The 24,062-nt window shown below is 41.4% G+C and overlaps 1 protein-coding gene across 15 annotated transcripts in view, besides 2 other annotated features; it reads left to right on the top strand.

Moving 5' to 3' along the window:
• The window catches only part of FANCC (FA complementation group C), a 218,656-nt gene continuing 203,982 nt past the window's right edge, over positions 9,389-24,062 (top strand). For 7 of the 15 annotated variants that reach the window (XM_006717001.4, NM_000136.3, XM_006717002.5 and 4 more), the window contains exon 1: positions 9,389-9,572. The gene's annotated coding sequence lies outside the window, so the exon portion shown is untranslated. Of the gene's footprint in view, positions 9,573-9,843; positions 9,970-10,198; positions 10,267-24,062 lie in introns of those variants that run through there. The other 8 variants (XM_047422950.1, XM_024447451.2, XM_047422953.1 and 5 more) reach the window with 2 other exon arrangements.
• Positions 9,718-10,037: a silencer, noted in NCBI's record as "silent region_20064". NCBI's record gives its function as "represses an Ori minimal core promoter by ATAC-STARR-seq in GM12878 lymphoblastoid cells {active_cell/tissue: GM12878}" and the evidence as "EXISTENCE:reporter gene assay evidence [ECO:0000049][PMID:35858748]".
• Positions 13,872-13,931: an enhancer, noted in NCBI's record as "active region_28637". NCBI's record gives its function as "activates an Ori minimal core promoter by ATAC-STARR-seq in GM12878 lymphoblastoid cells {active_cell/tissue: GM12878}" and the evidence as "EXISTENCE:reporter gene assay evidence [ECO:0000049][PMID:35858748]".

Genomic DNA, 24,062 nt, shown 5'->3' with positions numbered 1-24,062 from the left:
GCCTCCCAAAGCACTGGGATTACAGGTGTGAACCACTGCGCCCAGCCTAGAGATGTTAATTTTTTTTTAACCTAAATTTTAACTTTTATTGCACCTTGCCATTTTCGGTTTTCTCTCCTCTTTTAAAGGTTGACATACAGTAACACTCTCCAACTCATCTTTCAGGTAATATAAGTTTTTTTCCTCAAGTTCTGTTTGTCGTGGCCTGATGCTAACAATGTTTTCTTAAAGGTGTAAGGGAAATGTTTTCTTCCAACATAATATTCTGTGCAGTGCAGAAGTTATTCTCTTTTGCCTTTTAGGAACTGGCCTAACAGATTTTATGGCTTATTGAAACAATTCTTATGCCATTATTATTAAGTTTTCGGTTTCCTTAGAAAAAAACTGAGATTAAAATATATTTTTTAATTAAGGTTATTACATCCTTGTATCTTTCTGTATGGGCTTTTAAAGTCCTTTTGACATTGAGTTACAGGGCTTTCAGTCCTGGGTCTAAGAGGACACTAAATCCTGCTAAATCTAAAATACAGCAATTAAAGCCTCATCTTCAGGCCTCGTAGAAGATGTCAATCAAAATAAACTGCATTCCTGAGACACAGGGCCAGAAATTAAAGCTATTCAACAACTCAATGTTCGGGGACTATCGCAGAAGATGTGGGTGTGTGGGATTGTAAGGGCCCATTTTGAGAGATAAAATAAGTTCAGTTTTTCTATAAATTAACCATTAATGTTAAAGGCACACTGATGCAAGACCATCATATGGACCCCTCTGTCAGATTAACAAGGTTTTCTTGAAGCATTAACCACCTCCTTAATAAAGGTTATGAAGGTTATAAAAGGCTTATGTAAGTTATATCTTATGGTCAAGATAAGATAAAAATCATATAGATTGTTCACAAAATTTTGAAAAAAATTTAATTGGCTTCATACTGTTTTTATTAGGACTTATTGTTTGAAAAATTAAGTCTCCTCTCTCAAAGAATGAAGGTTTTCACCTTTTTTGGAAATTCTTGAGTTATCACCTTAGTCAAATGAATGACTTATTTTACAGTGATGTGTGATATCAAGTGTTTTAAACCTTTGATATTTAACAAACTTTCCAAAATCAAATGATAAATTATGTCTTTTTCTGACCTGATTAATCCTTTAAGATATTAGTTTCCCTAACGTCCAAAAATGACATAATTTGGCTTATTGGTATAAAAAGTATACAGAAAACATTGTCAAATGTGAAATAGTGTTTGGTTTTCTCTGGGCTGTATTTGTATAATTATGTTATTGGTATGTGTTCCAAAATTATGGGAAATGCCTATGATTCTGATGTGACTTAGTGTACATTATCAGTAATAATTATAATTGTTAAGTTAAATTATTATGTGCCACAGAGCTAACAAATTTCCTTGTCAGCTGTGTCTTTGACTATGGCTGCCATAAAACGTTTTGTCATCCACAGACAATTGTCTTGTTTTGGTCCTCTTTAGAAGGTGGCTTTATAATCAGCTATAAAACTCTAACAGGTGCTCTTGAATATAAGTTTCTGATAACTTTGGAAATTGTGGCATCAGAATAGGAGAAAAACTTTTGGGATTCATGGAGAACTGAAATGTTTGTGAATATCAGGCAGAACAGAAATTAACCACATGGACTGAACTAACAGAAGACTAAAGTAATCTGTTTGACTTTTTGCTTAAAACGTTTCTCATCCTTTGTTTTGTTTCTTTAGAGTCAAAGAAACTTTTTTTGAGCTATTAACAGCTTTTAACAATTTAGTACACTTCTGTGAACAAAATTTAGAACATATTTGTTTCTCTCTACCTGATTTCTCAGGAATTTGGAAACCATTTGTGAATATTCTTAACTTATGGCAATACAGTGATTTGCATAAGTACAGTAAGAATATGTCTTCATTTATAACAGGACACAATTTGAGAAACTGGTTATTTTACCAAGACTTTGACTGGAATGATGTGCTTTCCTTTAAGGAATCAGACTTGACTTATGGAGCCAATAAAAGCCCCTTGGGAAAACAGACCTCATACCTTGTCTACATAGTCCCTGTACAGGGTTCCTGACCTGTGGTAAGTAAAGAATGTAACTTTCTGACAGGCCCAGGAGCCCCAAGTCTATCTTGGAACCTCAGGAGTAGAGAAATTCACCCAACTCATAGGTATTTGATGGTACAAATCCATGGCTGGGCTGGACTTCAAAAAAGTCTTATCTCAGATTCCTTCTATGGAACAAATTTCCATCAAAGGCAATTTAAAAGCCTATGTAAACAAATAATTATTCTTGCTGCACTGTATACAAATTGTCAGTTCAAGTGTAATAAAGCAAATCAGTCTTACCATGATTTGGCTGTAGTAAAAATGGGAAACTGAAGAGAGAAAAATTCTGTTTCAAAAACTATAGTACACCTGTTGTTACATTTGAGTCTTGCCTAATGTTTTCCAGTTTTTATTATTTTCTACAGTTTGGGCCAAATTCTAATTTTTCTTGGCTATAAGTCTTCAAAATAATGTTTTCATTTTTTTCCTTCTTTTCCCCCCCATTTTCCCTAATTTGGAGTCACTGTTGTAAAGCCTTGCAAACTGAAGCTAAACAACTTAAACTTCAGAAGAAAATAACAGCAACCTATTTACATACATAATCCACTTTCATACCTACCTACTGATGTATGGACTTCAGAATCATATGGCCTATACCAATTTTCCAAGATTGTTCTTTTGTTTGTTGTTGTTTTGCTCCCTTCCTCCCCCTATTTTCTCTTCATAAAACATAAGATTTCACAACCTGTTAAAAATGAACTTTCCTAATAACTTGGGACCTACCCATCTAGGAATAAACCTTGCTAGCCATGAGAGATCAGACAAAAATGAGACCAGAGACTCATTTTCTTCTAAAATTCTTTCTCCAAAATATTTTTTAAAAAGAAAAGGGGGGAAATATGAAAGGAAAATAAATCTGGGGGCCCCAAAATCACTAAGGTAAAGGGAAAAGTCAAGCTAGGAACTGCTTAGGGTAAACTTACCTCCCATTCTATTCAAAGTCACCTCTCTGCTCACTGAAATAAATGTGTATCTGATTGCCTCCTTTGGAGAGGGTCATCAGAAACTCAAAAGAATGCACCCATTTGTCTCTTATCTACCTATGACCTGGAAGCCCCCTCCCCACTTCGAGTTGTCCCACCTTTGCTTTGAGTTGTCCTGCCTTTTCCGGACCGAAACAATATTTATCTTACATATGTTGATTGATGCCTCATGTCCCCCTAAAATGTATAAAACCAAACTGTGCTCTGACCACCTTGGGCACATGTCATCAGGACCTCCTGAGCCTGTGTTATGGGTGTGTGTCCTCAACCTTGGCAAAATAAACTTTCTAAATTAACTGAGACCTGTCTCAGATATTTGGGGTTTGCAATTATAAAGTCCAGAGTTAGGCAAGCCAGGTAATTCTCATGATTATTGGGAACCCAGGGTCCTCCTTCTTCTTTTTCTTTTTTCTTTTTTCTTTTTTCCTTTTTTGAGACAGAGTTTCACTCTTGCTGCCCAGGCTGGAGTGCAATGGAGTGATCTCGGCTCACAGCAACCTCTGCCCCCCAGGTTCAAATAATTCTCCTGCCTCAGCCCCCCAAGTACCTGGGATTACAGGCATGAGCCACCATGCCCAGCTAATTTTATATTTTTTTTAGTAGAGACAGGGTTACTCCATGGTAGTCAGGCTGATCTCACAGTTCTGACCTCAGATGATCCACCCGCCTCAGCCTCCCAAAGCACTGGGATTATAGGCGTGAGCCACCGTGCCCAGCCCTCCTTTTTTTTTTTTGCTCTGCCATCCTCATTCTGTGACTATCATCCTTGAGAGTTGTTTATAGTCCAAGATGACGGAAACTTAAGCCCTTCTGCCCTTATACTAAGTAGGAAGCAGGAGAGAGGGGAAGAGGGCTAAATATCTCCTGGCCTCTCTTGTCTTTCCACCTTTTCTCTCTCACTGGCTACAGCTGAGTTGCTGGCCACCCCTAGTCGGAATGGAGTCTAGTTGTAGGGAAGGTGGTCCTTTTTATTGGGCACATTGCCGTGCTAAGTAAAAGCAGTGTTCTGATACTAACAAGGGGAGGAAGTGGTAAAATGAGATGAATAAAAACAACATAATGAGTTTTTCATGAAATAAAACTTATTCAATTTAAAAGACTGTTCTTTGAGACTTTTTCCCTTCATCTTGTCTTAAAGTTAAAAATACATTTCTTAAAAAATGAAATTATAATTATGGCAGACTTTTTTCTCCTAAGGTCTTTACTTGACCAAATAAAAAGTTGTTAACTCTGTTAACTTCTAATATTACTGACATTTCACTGGCCCCCTCCCCTGCCAAATCCAAAACCTAGAGAACTCCTGCTTTCTCTCAACTCTAAAATACTTAGATCTGTGTCTTTCACACAGCGTATAGGCTTTGTGCTTTATGCTTTGTAGTGATTGGGTTGAGAACATGCTTCTGCTAAATACAGCATGTTGATATTTGAAAACATGGCAGAAGCTGGAAAGTCACTCTCACCTTCCCTCCTCTCCTTTCTCCTGATGCGGGTCATAAAACCTTGGAATGATTTTCTGAACTTCCCCTGAAGCAGGTCCTAAGACCCTCATGTAAGAAGTGCTGCCTATATCCACAGTACCTATCTCCACAGGAAAGGTACTTTCTTACCTCTGAAGACTGACGGGTTACAGAGAAAAATCTGAACAAATAAGCCTTGCTAAATTCCCCCCAAGTTTATTCCCATCTTTGTTCAACTGTATCTCCCCACAACTGTCCACTCTTCATGAAACCTGGCATAGAAACACACAAGTTTAACAGCTTCTCTGGGTCTTCCTTTCCTTAGGAAGGCTCCTATGTCATGGGAAACTTACATGCAATGTCTATGCTTTGCTCCTGTTAATCTTTTATTATGGAGGCCTCAGCCATGAACCTAGGATGGGTACAGAAAAGCCATTTTTCATTCCCTATAGTAATCTCGCAATAGGTATCTATTGATTAATTTATCAAATAGGCTCAGCCAAAGTGCGAATGCCCAGTGACACAATGAAGAGCTGCCACCTCCAGGTTCTTAGTCAGGGCTTGCTTTGCAGTGAGGGAGAGAAACTCACTGAAGTCAGCATAGGTAAAGGGATGACTGTTGCAAGGATATGGGGCAATCCTGTGGACAACTAAGAACAGAAAAAATATATAGTCAGTTAACCTTAAAATTAGGCTTAAAAATAAAAAATAAGGAATGGAAGCTCCCCTCTCTCTCACAGAATAAATAACAGCCTTTCAACGTCATTTTGCTTTTCTCTGCCAGCCAACTTTCTTTGCTACTTACATATTTTTCTTCCCCAAGTAACTCCAGTTGGCATGAGGGCTTTAGCTCCTGTTGTATAGAGATGTTACAGTCTCTCAGTGTTGCAATTCCAAATTCCCCAGCAATAGTTTGATTGGTTCAGCTAGGGTCAGGCTACCATCTCTGGTTCAATTAGCTGTGGCTAGTAATGGAGGCTCTAGTACAAACATGTCCTCCTAGGTGCATTCTTTCAGCAGAGCCTAGGGAGTGAGCATATCGGGGGCAGGGTAGAAGTGGCAGCTTCCATGCAGCATTTATAATACATTTCCCTTTTTCCATGAATTTCCATCTCCTGCAGCCATCCCTTTCTTGGCCTTTTCCCCTTCACGGTGGCAGATCAAAGCCCTTCACTATTATCTGCTCCGTTTCTTAAAGTGTTTCTGGCACAAAAAATATTCTCATTGTTCTCTTCTCTAGTTCAACTTACATTTCCTCAGTTGGAATGTTTTAATGGGAAAGTAATGTGGTGATTAGAGTGCAGAAGCCTCTGGGATCACCTCACCCTATTTTCAAGTCACCAGCCTGGGCCAGGAGCAAGAACATTATAAGTAAGAGGCCACTGTAAATGGAGTTGAAGCCAGGTTCCACCCTCCACTAGAAGAGATGGCTCTGTGCATGAGTTTCTGTATCTGTGAAAGTGGAATATTACCACTGTGGATTACATAAGATCACTGTGAGAATCAAAGGGAATAACCCAGGCCAAGGAGTTAGCCCAGTGCCTGGAACTTCAACACGCATTATTCACAACTGAGGTACAAGAGGCAAATATCAAAGCCATGGACAAGATAGTGTTAAGGGCGTGATGGCATGTGCCTGTAATCCCAGCTACTCATGAGGCTGAAGCATGAGAATTGCTTGAACCGGTGAGGCAAAGGTTGCAGTGAGCTGAGCTGAGATCATGCTACTGCACTCCAGCCTGGGCGACTGAGTGAGACTCTGTCTCAAAAAAAAAAAAAAAAAAAAGAAAAGATAATGTTAAATGTTGGGGTGCCAAATAAGGACTGGAAACCAGGTGGGTGGTGTCTGAACTAATTCTGGAAGTAGGAGTCTTGGTACAATGGTTTCCACAACGTGGATTCTAAGACAGTTGATTCTATTTGTTGAACTTTGAAGGAAGGTTTGATAATGTCAGGAACTTTGCAGCACTCAGCCAATTGACTTGTTTTCCTCTAGAATGTAAAGATTTAATGTAAACGATGTAATAATTTTCACCTAAATAGGCCATTTTTCATTTTGCGACATTATTTGTGATTGGGTTCTATACTACAACCAAAACTGTGTTCCAGAGTAACACACACCTGGGCCCGGTGGCCCACGCCTGTAATTCCAGCATTTTGGTGCCACTGAGGTGGTTGGATTGCTTAAGCGCAGAGGTCGAGGCTGCAGTGAGCTGTGTTTGCACCACTGCACTTCAGCCTGGGTGAGAGTGAGATGCAGTCTCAAAACAAACAAATCAAAACCACACACACACACACACACACTCCCACACACAAACAAAAATTGGATCACCCATAATCAATTTTATGATTCAATTAAAAAGAGGGTTTGTATTGAAATATCTGTTTCTCTGGAAACTTTCTGGGCATTTTACAAAGTGAACATCTCACTATTGCTTAAAATATTATTAAGATAGTTCCATGTATATGAATGCCAGGCAAAATGAATCCCTATAAATATAAGTTTGGATCTTTATGCTATATATGCTTCCTATTTAGGTCTAATTTAGGCCTAAACATGGTGTCATTTCATATACTGCAAAGTTGGATGAGCCTAGCAATTCTTTATTAACCACTGAACTAAAAAGACAGAAAACTGGGATATGGCAAGACATCAATCATTAACAAACACTAAAAATGATTTTTCAGCGAATATGTAAAAGGATGTGGGTACCAAAATAGATAATTTCTCTCAAGAAATACATACTTTAATTGCTTTCTTTGCTGATAAATGCAGAACTTAAACGTCAACTCACTCTCGATTTGTTACCACAGAGGTGACTTTCTCATGGTCAAGGTGCCACGATGAGTGCCCCTCAGGCATGTATTTCCCTACCCAGGACTTGCTTTTGATTTATCCATGTCACACTATGCACACATCAAAAACACATCGACCTCTCTGCTGTAAAACAGAACGAAATCATGTCCTTTGCAGCAACATGGATGGAGCTGGAGGACATTATCCTAAGTGAACAAACTCAGAAACAGAAAATCAAATATTGCATGTTCTCATAAGCGGGAGCTAAACAATAGGTATACATGTACATAAGAATGGGAATAACAAGACACTGGGGACTCCAAAAAGGGAGAGGGTGGGAAGGGGGTGAGGGCTGAAAAATTAGCTATTGGGTACAATGTTCAATGTTTGGGGGACAGGTACACCAGAAGCCCAATCCCCACCATTACACAATATACCTATGTAACAAGCAAGCACATGTACCCCCGAATCTAAAATTAAAAAACAATCAAAAAGCACCGACTTCCTTAACTGGCATGGAATAGTTTCGAGAATGGATGTAAACACCGAATTCCTTAATGTAGTTGCAGATTCTGCCAGTTTTGTCTCAACCTCTGGATCGGTTCCTTTTTTTAACTACCTTTAATTCTTAAACAGATTGTTGCTATTGCTATGCTATATACTTATTGTATCACTTATAAATGTATAACCTCTGCAAATTAGTCTCTGAATTGAAAGTATTCATTGGTAAAACGGGTATTTCTTCACCATAGGAATAGTTGGACATGTTTAAATACTTGAGAGCTATTTTTATTACAAGCACACACAGCTTTGTGGTGTTTTTTGTTGAGACAGAGTCTCGCTCTGTTGCCCAGGCTGGAGTGCAGTAGTGCGATCTTGGCTTACTGCAACCTTCGCCTCCTGGGTTCAAGCAATTCTCCTGCCTCAGCCTCCTAAGTAGCCGGGAGTACACACTAATTTTTGTATTTTTAGTAGAGACGGGTTTTTGCCATGTTGGCCAGGCTGGTCTCAAACTCTTGACCTCAGGTGATCCACCCGCCTCAGCTTCCCAAAGTGCTGGGATTAGAGGTGTGAGCCACCGCGCCCGGCCTGTAGTGTGTTTTTGAACGTATATGTGAAGTTGTAGCTTTTTTTTTTTTTTTTTTGAGACGGAGTCTCCCTCTGTCGCCAGGCTGGAGTGCAGTGGCGCGATCTCGGCTCACTGCAACCTCTGACTCCCTGGTTCAAGCTATTCTGCCTCAGCCTCCAGAGTAGCTGAGATTACAGGCGCCCGCCACCGCGCCCGGTTAAACGTTTTGTATTTTTAGTAGAGACGGCGTTTCACCATGTTGGCCAGAATGGTCTCGATCTTCTGACCTCGTGATCCGCCCGCCTTGGCCTTCCAAAGTGCTGGGATTACAGGCCTGAGACACAGCGCCCGACCTAAGCTGTAGTTTTATGATTATGATTTATGGTTGTGAGGCATTGATTTAAGACATTTTAAAGCTTAAGTCGTCAGATCCTAGAAGAAAAAAAAATTCACCAAGACAAGCTAATGCCATTGTCATAAATGGGAGTTTGGAGAAAATTTTATTAATATTTGTTTGGGTGGTTTATGTACAGCGTTGAACTGATTTGAACCCCGACCAAACACTGTATGGAACTAATGTACGGTAGGGGAAATCATTAACTGAAGATGCCTTTTTTGTTGCTATTGTTTAGAACGCAGTTAGAAAATCTTATTTTAGAGGTTTTACCCCGTTGACAAAGCCTCAACTTTTCTTCAAAAGAACTAATTTCCATTTTACCTCCCCTACATTTTGAACAGAATATGGAAGAAGCCAGCGCCCCTTCTCCGCGGGCGCTGCTGCAACCCTGCTCCCGCCGGGGCTTCCGCGCGAAACCGGGAACACTGGAGCAGTACCGACTCCGCTCGCCTAGAACCCGCCCCAGCCGGGCCCACTTCCGCCAGAGCCCTGGCCGCGCCCGCCCCGCCCCACGGACCCGAGATTCGTCGGAATTTTCCCGCGACGCCGCGGGAGCGCGCGGGGCCGCTAGCCAGGCCCCAGAATGCACTGCTGACACGTGTGCGCGCGCGCGGCTCCACTGCCGGGCGACCGCGGGAAAATTCCAAAAAAACTCAAAAAGCCAATACGAGGCAAAGCCAAATTTTCAAGCCACAGATCCCGGGCGGTGGCTTCCTTTCCGCCACTGCCCAAACTGCTGAAGCAGCTCCCGCGAGGACCACCCGGTAAGCGGCAGGCCGCAGAACGCAGCGAGGGCGGAGGCTTCCCTCGGGGGTCTGGCCGACACGTCAGCGGCGAGAGCGGGAGGAGGAGGCGAGGGGCAAGAGGGAAGGCTCGCGAGAGCGGGTGGGCCAGGCGCGCCTTGCGGTGGGCGAGAGGGGTTCCCGCCGGCGCAGGGCTGTGGCTAAGGCTGAGGCGGGAGGCGGGAGGCGGGAGGCGGAAGGTGGCGGGCGGTGCCAGCCCGCGGGGCGGGGCCAGGGCGGGGAAAGCGGGGGCGGGAGCCGGCGCTGGGGTCGCGCGGAAGGGAGCCCCCGGAGAGGCGGGAGCCGGGTGTTGGCGTTTTGGTTCTTTTTGTTCATTGAGCGCAGGCAGCTATGTCTTCTTCAAAGGAGAGGAGCAAAGGTGAATTTCTCTGCCTCGGACTCGTGGGAGCCGTGAAAAGCTCGCCCCTTTGAGCCGGTCGCCCTCTACAGCTGGCCTCGTCCTCCCCGTCCCTCACACCCCTGCCCCCAAACCCCATTCGCCGGGGCGCCAGGAGGGGCGAGGTCCAATTAGAGGAGCCCGGGGCGCGGCTGTTACCCCTCCCGCCCTCCGCCTTTTATTCCCGGAGGGAGGCGGGTTCGCAGAGGCCAGTGTCTTCCCTCCATTCTTTTTGTGGACGCCAGGCCATATCTTCAAAGCCCGTGAGAGATTTTTCAGGTGCTGTTTGTTGGTTTGCTCTTTTTAATTTTTTAGGTGGGTGCGTTTACAACTACGAACCCTCTATGATCTTATGTGTCCAGCGCACCGAATGGGGGAAAAGACTTGGAGTTTTATAACATGGGAAATTGGGTACCAGAATCTTAAGGGAAGAGACCAAGGAGTTTTCTAGCAAAGTCCTGTATGTGCCTGGACTTTTGTTCTAATCTGAAACTTGGAAAACTCCCGGGCATCTGATTTTATTCTAACTTGTGCCCCATTTAATGCATCTAAACTGTGATGTGATTTGACTTAGCATTTATCAAATGAGCAGAGCACTTTTGGGCCACCCAACTTCAGCTCTTTGTGGCTGTCACTCACTGTCAGTGATATGCCCTCAGACAGATCGTTTTCTCCTTACTCCCCTGAAAGGTTGTTACAAACAGTAGAATTCATACCATGTGTTGAGATCATTCATTACCTAAGCTTAGATGGAAAACATGTTCATTGCGACTTTATACATTAAACTTGAATTGATGTTTCAATGTTATGTGCTGTACCAGAGTCACCTGGAAATAAGCACTCATATACATTATTCATATACAAGAAAGGCTGCATCGAAAAAGAATTTGTTTTCCTAGATATATCAGAGATCTTTTTCACCAACCCACTACTCCCAGTAATAGAGCCTGCTTCTTGAGAACTGGACTAATTATACTTTGTATATTATACATTCGAATTTATTTTTGCTTTATTCGGTCATATTTTCTCTTGATTTCTCCAAAAACGTTTACCAAGGCATCAGAAAAGAAAAGCAGGCTCTATATTGGTATTTTTTGTTTTGTCCTCTAATAAAAAGCATTAACTTGATTGATTGGCTGGTTGTGGAAGATGTGTTGCTGCATGTATGTGCAACTGTGCATGTACATTTTAAAACAAATGGTACTTTTAACCAGTTCCATATTTCAGCAGGTAGTTCCAATAACAATTATACAAATTTCGTGTTTATGAGAACCAGCTACAGGGAGGCCAGCCTGGCCAGTAGAAAGTTGGATTGATTATCTGGGCCATGGAGAGAGCCAGAGGAAACTCACATGAGTGGTAGTTCCAAGTTGGTAGTGTTAGGGCCTCAAATCGGGCTGGAAATGAGCACCAAATGATTTTTAAAAGTTTTATTTTAGGCTGGGATATGTGCATTCTCTGTCTTGTTTGTGGATCTTGAGTGATTGACTTAATGTGAAAAAATACATACAGGAGAAGCACCTTGGAAGTTTTGCAATGTTTTAATAAAAATGCAGAAGTGGAGAAGGAAAGGCAATTCAGATAACAGGCAGAGCATGGTGGCTTATGCCTGTAATCCCAGCACTTTGGGAAGCGGAGGCGGAAGGATCACTTGATCCCAGGAGTTCGAGTCCAGCGTGGGCAACAGAGAGAGCCCTGTCTCTACAAAAAGTTAAGAAATTAGCCGGCCATAGTGATGCGGGGCTGTGGTCCCAGTTACTCGGGAGGCTGAGGTGGAGGATCACCTGAGTTCAGGAGGTCGAGGCCACAGTGAACTGTGATTGCGCCACTGCACTCCACACTGGGCAGCAGACTGAGACCGTGTCTGGAAAAATAAAATTGGTAACAATTCAGATTGGCCACCAGAGTTGGACTGGGGGCTAGCAGGCAATGGTTTTACCTCCATTTTGAGATTGGCATCTTCTAACTCAAGTTTAATACGGGACTGAGGGTAAGAGACCTGCATGCCTTTTATGTCAGCATTACATTATCTTGATTATGGCAGCTTTATAGTAAGTTTTGAAATTAAGTAGTGTAAGTTATCCAATGTTTTTCTTCATTTTCAAAATTGTTTTGGCGGTTCAGGGTTCCTTACATTTCCATATAAATTTTAGTATCAGTTTGTTATTTTTTTTCAGAAAACCGTGCTGTGATAGACTTTGTAGGAATTGCATTTAATTTTGCATATCTATTTGGGGGAGAATTGCCATCTCATCATGAACATGGAATCTCTTTCCATTTGTTGAGCGCTTTAATTTCTCTTAGCAGTATTTAGTAATTTTCAGTGTACAAATTTTGCCCTTTTGTAAATTAATTTTGAAGTTTTATTTTTGATGGTATTGTGAATTGAATTATTTTTAAAATTTCATTAAAATTTTTTTTATCGATAAAGTGAAAGCAAGTTTTTTGTTTTTTTTTTGAGACAGAGTCTCGCTCTGTTTGCCCAGACTGGAGTGCAGTGGCACGATCTCGGCTCACTGCAATCTCCGCCTCCCGGGTTCAAGCGATTCTTCTGCCTCAGCCTCCCGAGTAGCTGGGACTACAGGCACCCTTCACCACGCCCGGCTAATTTTTGTATTTTTAGTAGAGACGGGGTTTCACCATATTGGTCAGGCTGGTCTCAAACTCCTGACCTCGTGACCCGCCTGCCTCGGCCTCCCAAAGTGCTGGGATTACAGGCGTGAGTCACTGCGCCCGGCCGAAAGCAAGTTTATTAAGAAAGCAAAGGAATAAAGAATGGCTACTCCACAGGTAGAGCAGCCGAATTATTTTTAAAATTTCATTATGGATTGTTGTCAGTATATAAACATACACTTGATTTCACTTATTAATCTTATATCTTGCAACCTTCCTTGTTGAACTTGATGATTACTTCCAGTTTTTTGTGAATTACACAGGATTTTCTACATACGGCATCATGCCAATATAGTTTTACTTTTCTTTCCATGTGGATGCCTTTAGTTTCTTTTTTGCCTGATTAATTTTTTTCTTACCTGGTTCGACCCTCCAGCACTTTGCTGAATAGACATGGAGTGTATATTATTGACTTATTTCTCATCTTAGGGGGAAAACATTTAATCTTTTACCATTAGATACGACGTTAGCTGTAAGTTTTTCATAAATGCACTTTATCAGGTTGAGAGATTTTCCTTCTGTTACTAGATTGTTGAGAATTCTTATGAACAAATGTTAGAAATGTTGCTTTTCTGCATCTATTGAGATGACTGTGGTTTTGTTCCTTTATCAATATGATTTATTAACTGATTTGTGTATTTATACTAACCTTGCATTCTAAATCCCATTTAGTCATGTTATATAATCCTTTTTACATATTGCTGGATTTGGCTTAGTAATATTTTGTTTAGGATTTTTGTATTATGTTCATGGTAATATTAGTAATATTTTGTCTTGTGATGTCTGTCTGGCTTTGGTATTACCGTAATAGTGGCATCTTAGAATGAGTTGGGAAGTGTTCCCTCCTATTTTTTCAGAGTTTGTGAAGGATTGGTATTTTTTTTTCTTCAAATATTTGATAGAATTCACTCACAAAGTCATCAGTTCGTGGATATTTCTTTATAGGGAAATTTGAAATTACAAATTCAGGTTCTCCAGCGCACGCATGCGTGTGACTTCTCCGGTGAAGGTTGTCGTGCGCGCACCTGGCCGTGACTCCTCCAGAGCGAGGTTGTGCACACATGCGCGCGCCTTCTCCATCGCCAGCTTCCACATACTTTCTCCAGCACTGGTTCCCAGGCACACACGTGACGCTTCTCCAGGGCGGAGCTCCCATAGTGTGTGCGGCTTTCTAGCGCTCACTCTTGGTGGGTGTGCTTTGCCAGCGCTAGCTCCCTGGGGTGTGCCGCTTCCCCAACGCTGGCTCCCGTGCTTGGGTGCCGCCCCAGCACCTGTTCCCAGGCGTGTGCACGTCTCCAGCGCTAGGTCCTTGGCATATGTGCTTCTGCAGCGCCGGCTTCTGTGGTGTGTATCTTCCCCAGTGCAGGCTCTTGTAGTGCGCTGTGATCAGCTGCACCCAATGGTCAACTGTGTACCTCAGCATCCCCCTCAGGCGATTTTGTAACTGAGCCTGTGGTGGGACACCTCCCTGTGAACACTTTTCCTGGCGCCCTAGAGGATGGGTTTCTGGCAAGTTACCAAAGGTGGTTTTCCAGCAAGTTGTACTGGTACAGCACCCACAGAGACATCTCTCGTATTCAGTGAGCCATGGCTGTGCTCCCTCCAAAAAGTTCTTGATCCCATTTCTGGGAAGAAGTGGGTATTTTTCCTTAGGGCACCCACCTCAGCCCTAGGGGCAGTGGCTCCTCCTTATATCTCCTATTCCTGTGTTTTGTAGAATTCTCTGTACTTCTTACTAGCCAGCACCTTGTTACTCCAGTCCTGTTACAGTGAATAGTTCTTGACTGGGCATGGTGACTTATGCCTGTAATCCCAGCACTTTGCGAGGCCGCAGGGCTTGGGAGAATTACTTGAGACTAGGAGTTTGAGACAAGCCTGGGCAACATAGCAAAACCCCTGTTCTACAGAAAACACGAAATTATCTGGGAGTGGTGTGTGTCCCACCTACTACGGAGGCTGATGTGGGAGGATCGTTGAGCCCAGGAGGTTGAGGCTGCTTGGAGCCATGATTATACCATTGCATTCCAGCCTGGGCAACAGAGTGAGACCCTCTCTCTAAAAAAGAAAATGACAACAACAACAGTAATTATTTATAGTTGACTTTCCTTATTCAAATTATTATGTGGTTTCTTTTTACTGACTGGACCCAGACTGATTTATCACCTTTGCTCTGAACTTCCTCAAGAAATCATGAGTGGTGAGAGTATTTAGTCTGTTCATTTTCTTGAATTGTGAAAGTTAATCCTAAGGTTTCTCCCACTTCCACATGACGAAAGACACGTTTGTGTGAGAGTATGTAGGCTTTTATGAAGTGATGAAACTGCCTTTCCATGCCTTTGCAAATTAGAAACAGTATAGATTATCATGGAAAGTGGGGTCAGAGATTAGGAGGGGAGGAGAAGAGGACAGGATTAGAACTGTGGTCGACCTTATGGCATCCAGTGGGCAGGGTTCCCAGATGACCTGACTTTAGATGTGACTGTACTTCTCATTATCTTTCACCCCTGTTTTTCATTTTTCAGATTTCTGGGACTTGTGTTTTCATTTTCCTCTAGAGCCCCAATGATGCTTTTGTAATTCAGAAACATTTATGTGTGATATAAACATTTTATATACATTTAGCTATTTTAGTGGAATCTGAGATCTGTTACTCTGGTGACTACCCATAAGACAGTTTGAGGCTGCGGTTTTTCACACACACACACACACACACACACACACACACACAGATTCAGAGGAGACTATTTAAACAATATGAATTTGGCTGGGTGCAGTGCTGTGCACCTGTAGTCCCAACTATTTGAGAGGCTGAGGCTGGAAGATTGTGAGTTCAAGTCTCCTGGGCAAAATTGTGAGACCCTATCTCCAGGGAAAAAAATAAATAAATAAAAGGCTATGACTTTATGTCTGTGATTCCTTCTTTACCTGGTTCAGTTCAAAGGTATGGAATTGCCAGACACTTTTGCTTCTTTTATAAGATTTTGGAGGTGCCATTTACCTTAGTGACTTCCAACACCCTCCTATGGCTGGTTCCTTTTTGTTGTCATTTTGTTTTTGTTGGTTGTTACTGTTTACTTAAAGCTATAACATTATAAGGCATTGTACTTAGCCTAATCCTATTTTTGTAATTATGCTTGTACATTCAAGTGCTGTACTCAATAGATTTCCTTATTAACTCCTGATTTTTTTTTTTTTTTTTTTTTTGAGACGGAATCTCACTCTGTCTCCCGGGCTGGAGTGCAGTGGCGCGATCTCGGCTCATTGCAAGCTCTGCCTCCCGGGTTCACACCATTCTCCTCCTGAGTAGCTGGGACTACAGGAGCCCACCACCACGCCCAGCTAATTTTTTGTATTTTTGTTAGAGGCGGAGTTTCACCGTGTTAGCCAGGATGGTCTTGATCTCCTGACCTCGTGATCCGCCTGCCTTGGCCTCCCAAAGTGCTGGGATTACAGGCGTGAGCCACCGCTCCTGGCCAACGCCTGATTTATTGATGACCATTTGTGGTTATGCATAATGACTTTTCCTCTGTCTTTGTGCACTGCAGTTCATATTATTGCCTTATGTGTATATGCTTGTTTCCACAACTCTTAGCCAACTTCTTCAGGGTATATTCTTTTTTATTATATAACTGCATTGATGTTTGTTGAGTGCCAACATCCTTTCCTCCCTTCTCTGTCATAACAGACCCTAGATTTTCTTTTAGTAGTCACTATTCTATGGGCTCTGGGGAACACTGATACTACCTCTAGCTCCTGGGGGTGGACTTTTATTGGTTTAAGGAGTGTGTTTTATTGATTCGTCACAGTCATTGGTTAAGGATGGGCATAAGCTCAAGCAAGTCCAGTCTGAATACATCTGAGGTCTGTCTCTTACTTGGGATGCTGGAACAGAAGTATGTACTCTATTTTTGGGTGGTATGGATGTGATGTGACTTCTGTAATGGCTAAAGCTGTTTTGCTATCATGAGGGAAGCAGGATGGAGAGACAGATCAACTGTGAAGTCTGCCCTGTTTCTGGACTTGCCAGTTTCTTGAACCAACGAATTCCCCCCCTCCTTTTTTTTTTTTCTCTTTTGAAACAGGGTCTTGCCCTGTCAACCAGGAGTGCAGTGGCACGAACATAGCTCACTGCAGCCTCAAACTCCTGGGCTCCAGGAATCATGCCACCTCAGCCACCTGAGTAACTAGGACTACAGGTATGCACCACAATGTCTGGCTAATTAATTATCATTATTTTTGTAGAGACAGAGTCATGCTATGTTACCTAGGCTGGTCTTGAACTCCCAGCCTCAAGCTGTCCTCCTGCCTGGGTCTCCCAAAGTGCTGTGATGAGAGGTGTGAGCCACCATGCCTGGCCTCCCATTATTGTTTTAGCTGGTTTTGCTTGGTGCAGCAGGGGCATTTAATGCTTACTAAATATTTAGATCTTCCCTCACATTTCCCAGTTCACTTGCAGCTAGGTAGGACATTGTGATTGTTCTAGCCAATAGATTTTAAGCAGGTTATTTCCAGGTAGAAGCATTTAGTAGCAGATTCCTGACCTAGCTATCTCTTCTTTTTGCAATGGTGATTCTGGAGGCTAGGTGTTGAGATGTCTGAGCACCTGTCATGCTGGATCCATGAGTGACTGTGGAGCAGAACAACACCCCCACCCCACAAACATGTGTGTCCCACATAACATGTTGGACATATAGTATCAGAAAAAAGTTACTACATCATAACTTAGCCTATCTTGATGAATAGAGTTGGGTTTTCAATTACTGGAAACCAAAGGCATCCTAGGTGATATAGTATAATTTTGTAATTCTTAGTGTGTATTTGGTGATTTACAATGTATGCAGATTATACATTGTAATTGATTAGTAAGACACTTGTCTGAAGGAATCAGTTATATTTAGCCCTAGCTTTCTGAATTTGGTGTACCCAAACATGACCTTGTCCAACATGGATTGTAACGATTACTTAGCCTATCTACCCCTACATATTAAAGATTATAATAAAACACTATATAAAATATACATTTATACAAATAATATCGAATTGCTGCTTTTGCTTGAAGCCGTTAGCTAGGAATTTCCAATCATAGGCCGTAAGAGTGAGTAACCGTTTATTATTGGTATAACAGCATGCATTTTATTTATGAAGTAGTATTTTCTGCAGTATTTGGCACCCAGAAGAGTATCTTGTGTTTCTGATACTGACTAGTACCATTAGAATTTTTAGTCATTACACTAAAAAAGTTGGCAAAGCTAGTGAAACTTTTGCTTGATGATAAGTATTTTGATAAGTGGTGACTTTTTGAAACTATGCAGCCAGTTTTAGGAGTAACAGAAATATTTTTATATGAAATGGTATAATATGACTGATTTTTTCTTAAAATTGAGTAGTTGTAAGCAAGAAAAGTGCAATACAAATATCTTTTTCTTTTTTCGAGATGCATCTCACTCGGTCCCCCAGGCTGGAGTGCAGTAGTGCAATCATAACTCGTTGCAGTCTTGCCCTCCTGGACTCAAGTGATCCTCCCACCTGAGCCTCCTGAGTAGCTGGGACTACAGGCATGAGGCAGACACTGTGCCTGCCCTTAAAAATATCTTGAATTTTGGTAGTGACATTCCTTTGAAGGTATTAAAAGCTAGAAATTTGTTTCATTCTATCAAAGTTTCAGGTATCTTCATTTAGTTCTACACGTGTGTGCTGTACCCATCTAATGTTTGCCTAAAATTGTACTGTCTTTTTGGTTTTAAAATAATTTAAGTCTAGGCCGGGCGTGGTGGCTCATGCCTGTAATCGCAGCACTTTGGGAGGCCGAGGCGGGTGGATCACTTGAGTCCTGGTGGTCAAGGATGCAGGTCGGCTGGGCAAGGTAGCTCCTGCCTGTAATCCCAGCACTTTGGGAGGCCAAGGCGGGTGGATCACTTGAGGTCAGGAGTTCGACTCCAGCCTGGCCAACAGGGTGAAACCTGTCTCTAATAAAAATACAAAAAAAACTAGCCGGGTGTGGTGACATGTGCCTGTAATCCCAGCTACTTGGGAGGTGGAAGTACAAGAATCGCTTGAACTCGGGAGGTTGCAGTGAGCTGAGATTGGGCCATTGCACAAACAAACAAACAAAAAGCGGTGATCTGTGATTGCACCACTGCACTCCAGCCTGGGTGACAGAGCAAGACCCTATCTCAAAAAAAAAAGAAAAAAAAATTAAGCCTAAGATGTTTAATTTAAAAATAAGTTTTTAAAAAAGTATGTTTTTGAGGCAAAATGGTGAGAATAGGACAAGTATTTGAAAATATTGTGGTACTTGATCAGAACCACCTTTGGTTACATTGTTTTGTGGCCAAAGTGGCTATGACTAAATGACTACATGTTATTTTAAAAACATTGTTTCTAAGGTATTACTGATGTACATGAATGGATTGATATTATCATGGAGTGGTTTGTTATAAAAGCGAGTTTGGCCCTCTTGTGCTCTGTCGCTGTGTGATGCCTTCCATTGCGATGTGACCCCTCAATCTTAGACTTCCCAGCCTCCAGAACTGGGAGCTGATAAATTTCTGTTATTTGTAAACTACTGAGTCTCACATATTCTGGTATAGCAGCACAAAACAGACTAAGACAGGCAGTTGGGCAACAGCAAGTCTGAGTTCCCTTCCAGCAGCAACTGGCAGGAGTGAAATCCTGGCTGTCTTCTTTGCAGTCAAATGCTCTACCACTGAGCTATACCTACTGGCTATCTTCTTTGGACAGTTGCTGTTTTTCACCACAAGCCTGTCTAATTGCTTTACTCATTTAACTTATCTGTTGTGGACTTTGAATTTATGACCTTTGTCTAAAGTAATTTAAGTTTTGAATAATTCTGAAATGCATTCAGTTGTTAAACTAACACTTAGAAAAAAATGGACAGATCAGAACAAATTTGTCATACTTATTGGAGAAATTACTGCATTAATCAGGGTTCTCTGGTGACTTCTAAGTTTCATATCTGTAGAAAAGGTTATTATTATTCTTGAGCAGTAAGATACTGTATACCCTTTATAAATCAGAGCTTTTTGTTCTGTTGATTTTATACAAATACGTTGGTTTTATAAGCATGGTTTTTTTTTGTTAACTACTTCTTTTGATTTCTTAATTTATTTCTAACATTACTTTGGGCAATAGCCCTATTAAAAGTGCTTTGTACTTTCCAAATTATTTCCATATAGATTATATGGGATTCTCACAATAACCATATGTGCTAAGGTAAGATAGGCATTTTAAAAAAAGAAAAACAGGGCTGAGCACCTGTAATCCCAGCACTTTGGGAGGCAGAGGTGGGCAGATCACTTGAGCCCGTAAGTTCAGGACGAGCCTGGGCAACATGGCGAAACCTTGTCTCTACAAAAAATACAAAAATTATCCAGGCGTGGTGACATGCAACTGTAGACCCATACAGTGTGACATGCAACTGTAGGCTGAAGTGGGAGGATCGCTTGAGCCTGGGAGGTTGAGGGTGCAGTGAGCTATGATCATACCACTGCACTCCAGCCTGGGTGACAGAGCGAAACCCTGTGTCTAAAAACTAAATAAATAAATAAAAATTAGAAAAGAAAAATAGAATGGAGACTTTTCAAAAAAATTACTTTGGCTCATAATTAAGGAATTCCCAAGAGATTGCCCAAAGGAGGATAGCTACTGATGAACTTCTTGGGTTGATTGTGTGTGTACAGCTTTTAAATGTGTCTTAATTGTTATGAGATGATAACCTTTTCAATAATCAAAAGAGCCGGGTATTTCTGGTTACCCAAACCCAACTGATTTTAGCAGAAAACATTTGCCTTAAATAATAACTTCTCTTTGAAATGTTTAGAGAGAAGGAAACTGAGTTTAATGGCAGGGTTGTTGGCTGTTACCCAGGGAAACTAACTCCTGTCTGGTGCTCTTTTTGTTGCACCAGTAGTTCGATGTCCAAGGGGGGCTGAAGCTTCCTATGGAAGCATTGTTAAGCAAGTCTTTCGCAGGCTTTCGGTTGCATCTTTCTACTGTGTAAATAGGGGCATTAGGAGAAATGTAATCTTTGAATACTGCCCAACCAGTTTCTGCTTGGTAATGTGCCCTGAAACCCTCAATGAATGCCAGCAAACAAATTAGATCCACAGTGTATTTGATACGCATGTCTTTTCCCCAAACAAAATTCAAATTTCACAAACACAAACTGAGTCATTTTCCAAATGTTTGTATATGAATGGAAGTTTTTGTCCTGTTCTTCTGTAACCAATACCATAAAACTTCTGAAGGTCCTTGATGCATTTATTGTACAATGTTAATCCAAAACAAAACTTTATTCTGACTAAACTTGTAGGTATAGAGAGATACCAAACTCATTTTTGTTGATCAGTACAACATGTTTGTACCAACCAGATCTAAAAAATGTGTAAAGGAGTGCCATGCTGTAAAGACCTTATTACAGTTGTAAACATCAGTGCAGCTGTTACAAATCTAGCAAAACCTCAGGTTAAACAATTTCAAATTTACTGAAGATGACATTCCAGACCCAGTTTTCATAACATAAACACTCTAGGAAATGCCTTTGAGATGAGTGGGATTGTCATTAATATTAATGCCACCAAATTCAAGGCTGAGAAGTCATTTCTTTTCAAGCTTTATTTTCACTCCTAATTTTGGAATAAAATATACTTTTAACCTGAAGTATGGCGTGTCTTTTCACAGCCTGAAAACATTTGATCCTGTTGCCTTTGAATTGTAGGAATGCAAAAATACAGTATAAGTCTTTTATTCTTGATGGTCATTTAACTTAAATGAGTTTGTTAGAATTAAAGTTGGGAAGAATTAACTGTTAATGGAACTCAGTTGCATTGTTCAATTAAAAAATAAAAGGATGCTAAAAATAGTTGCTGTTTAAGGATTGTATTAGTGTGACATTTTAGAATGCTGCATTTAGGGAAGGAATTTTATTCTAAAGTGATTTGAAGCACATTTTTTTGTGGTCCTGTCTTTCATCTAGACAAGGTAGGACAAGCATTCAAAACCTGTACCAGTCTTAATCTGTTTTTTTCTTCTTAGTTTCCACTTAGTGGGACATCTGGTGAGGTATCATTTTGGCCATATAGTCATTTCTAAAGTTTCTTTCTGTGCTCTGATTTCCAATTAAGTCTTCTATGATGTTTGCCAAATTTAAGAGCATGCAGGGGTCCACTGGAAGTGCTGAATAACTGGGCTTTGGCCTAATTCTTTGTGCATGGCTGTATGTGTGGGGTGATTTTGTTTTCTTTGCTTGTTTATTGGTAATTGCATTAAATTCCATTTGCCTTTACTGAATTTTTTTTTGTTGGACTTTTGGGGAAACCTCTAAATTGGATAATAGAGCAATTAAGTGACTGTTTGTAAGCGATCCTCAGTGCTCTATTAGAGAGGCAGCATTTATCAAAAGAAAACAGTTGAATTTCTCTTGTTTAAACTTGCTTTTGAAATTCTGTTAATTTTCTAATAAGGAGAATTGAAGCCAAGCATTGTCAAGTACCATATTGTAATCTGAAGTTGGTAACTGTGGAAGCACATAGTTGATATGGTGATACCTTTTTCAGAGGAACTTTGGCTATTTCCATCAGCATAAAGGACACAACAGACTGCATCTATTGCCTTCACCTCTGCCTTATTTCTTCTGTTTTCCCTTTTTTTTTTTTTTTTTTTTTTTTTTGAGATAGAGTCTTGCTCTGTTGCCCAGGCTGCAGTACAGTGGCACGATCTTGGCTCACTGCAACCTCCGCCTCCCAGGTTCAAGGGATTCTTGTGTCTCAGCCTCCAAAGTAGCTGGGATTACAGGCGCTCGCCACCACGCCCACCTATTTTTTTTTTTTCGTTTTTAGTAGAGACAGGGTTTCCCCATGTTGCCCAAGCTGGTCTTGAACTCCTGGGCTCAAATGATCTCCTCCCTCAGCCTCCCAAAGTGCTGGGATCACAGGTGTGAGCCAACACTCCTGGCCCCCTTTTTTTTAAAAAAAATTAAAGAGGTTGTGGAGGTTTCTTTGAATTCTTTTGGTGTTTTTAAAAATGTTATATTTTGAGAAGAAAATCTGGGCAGGTACAAAGAACCCCTCCCTTTCCTGTTTGAAAACTTTTTTGCAGTCGCCCTGGAATTTTCCTTCACTGTCATTCATCCTTCTCTCCTTTCTTGATATTGGGTCTTCTGTTTACTTTATTTTCTTTCTTTGTTTTCTCCCTCCTCTTGATGTGAAGCAGATGTTCTAGTATCTTCCTAAAGCAGAATGTGTGGGAGATGAATTATTTCTAGTCACTGCCTGTTGAATGTGAAGTTATTCTAGTCACATTTGATTGATAGTTTGTCTAGATAAGAATTCCAGGTTGGAAATTATTTTCCTTTAGAATTGTGAGGCATTGTTTAATTTCCTTCTACCTTCCTGTGTTTTTACAATTTCATGATGATGTGCCTGGTGTGGATCTCTTCTCATCCATTTTCTTGGGCACTTGGTCAGCCCTTTCAATCTGGAAACTCCTGTCTTTTCGTTCTGAGAATATTTTTGGTGATTATCTCTTCCCTTCCATATTGGAACTCATTACAAGAAAGCTAATTAAGGAAGAGTAGAGGGTTGTGTTATGGGCTGAATTGTGTCCACCCCTCCCCCATTCATAAGTTGAAGCTGAAGCTGTAACCCCCAATGGGACTGTATTTGGAGATGGAGCCTTTAGGAAGTCATACCGGTGGGGTCCTAATCTGGTAGGATTGGTGGCCTTAGAAGAAGAGGTAGAGAGAGAGATCTCTCCCCACATGAGCACAAAGAAGAGGTCATGTGAGGACACAGGTGGCTGCCTACATACAAGCCAGGAAGAGGGCTCTCAACAGGACCTAATAGGCCTTGATTGTGGACTTTACAGCCTCCAGAATTGTGAGAAAATACATTTCTGTTATTTAAGCCACCATGTATGTGATATTTTGTTATGGCAGCCTAAACTGACGAAGACAGGTTGAGGTCAAGCTAGGACCTCAGCTTCATAAAGGTGAACTGCATGCGTTGCAAGAGAATATTAACATGATGCTGGTGCGCGTGTGTTCTCCTTTTTGACTGGTCCCTTTTTGAACTTAGCTCACTCATCTGCATATCACCCTTTGTGAGTTAGCACAAGTCATTAACCCAAGGTTCTAGATCTGTGCTGACCAATGCCATAGTCAATAGGTACGTTTAATTATATAAATTTACATTAATTAAAATTAAATAAAATTCAAAATTCACTTCCTCAGATTCATTAGCCATATTGCATGCGTTCAGAAGCCACATGCAGCTGGCGCCTGCAGTATTGGATGGACAGATAGAGCCAGAACCTTTCCATCCTTGCAGAAAGTCTGGCTGTACAACCGTATTCTAGATACTTGCCTTACACCTCTCCCTCTCTCT

This window comes from Homo sapiens, chromosome 9 (genome assembly GCF_000001405.40).
Source record: "Homo sapiens chromosome 9, GRCh38.p14 Primary Assembly".
Lineage (NCBI taxonomy): Eukaryota > Metazoa > Chordata > Mammalia > Primates > Hominidae > Homo > Homo sapiens.
This window is presented reverse-complemented; position numbering and strand designations above follow the sequence as displayed.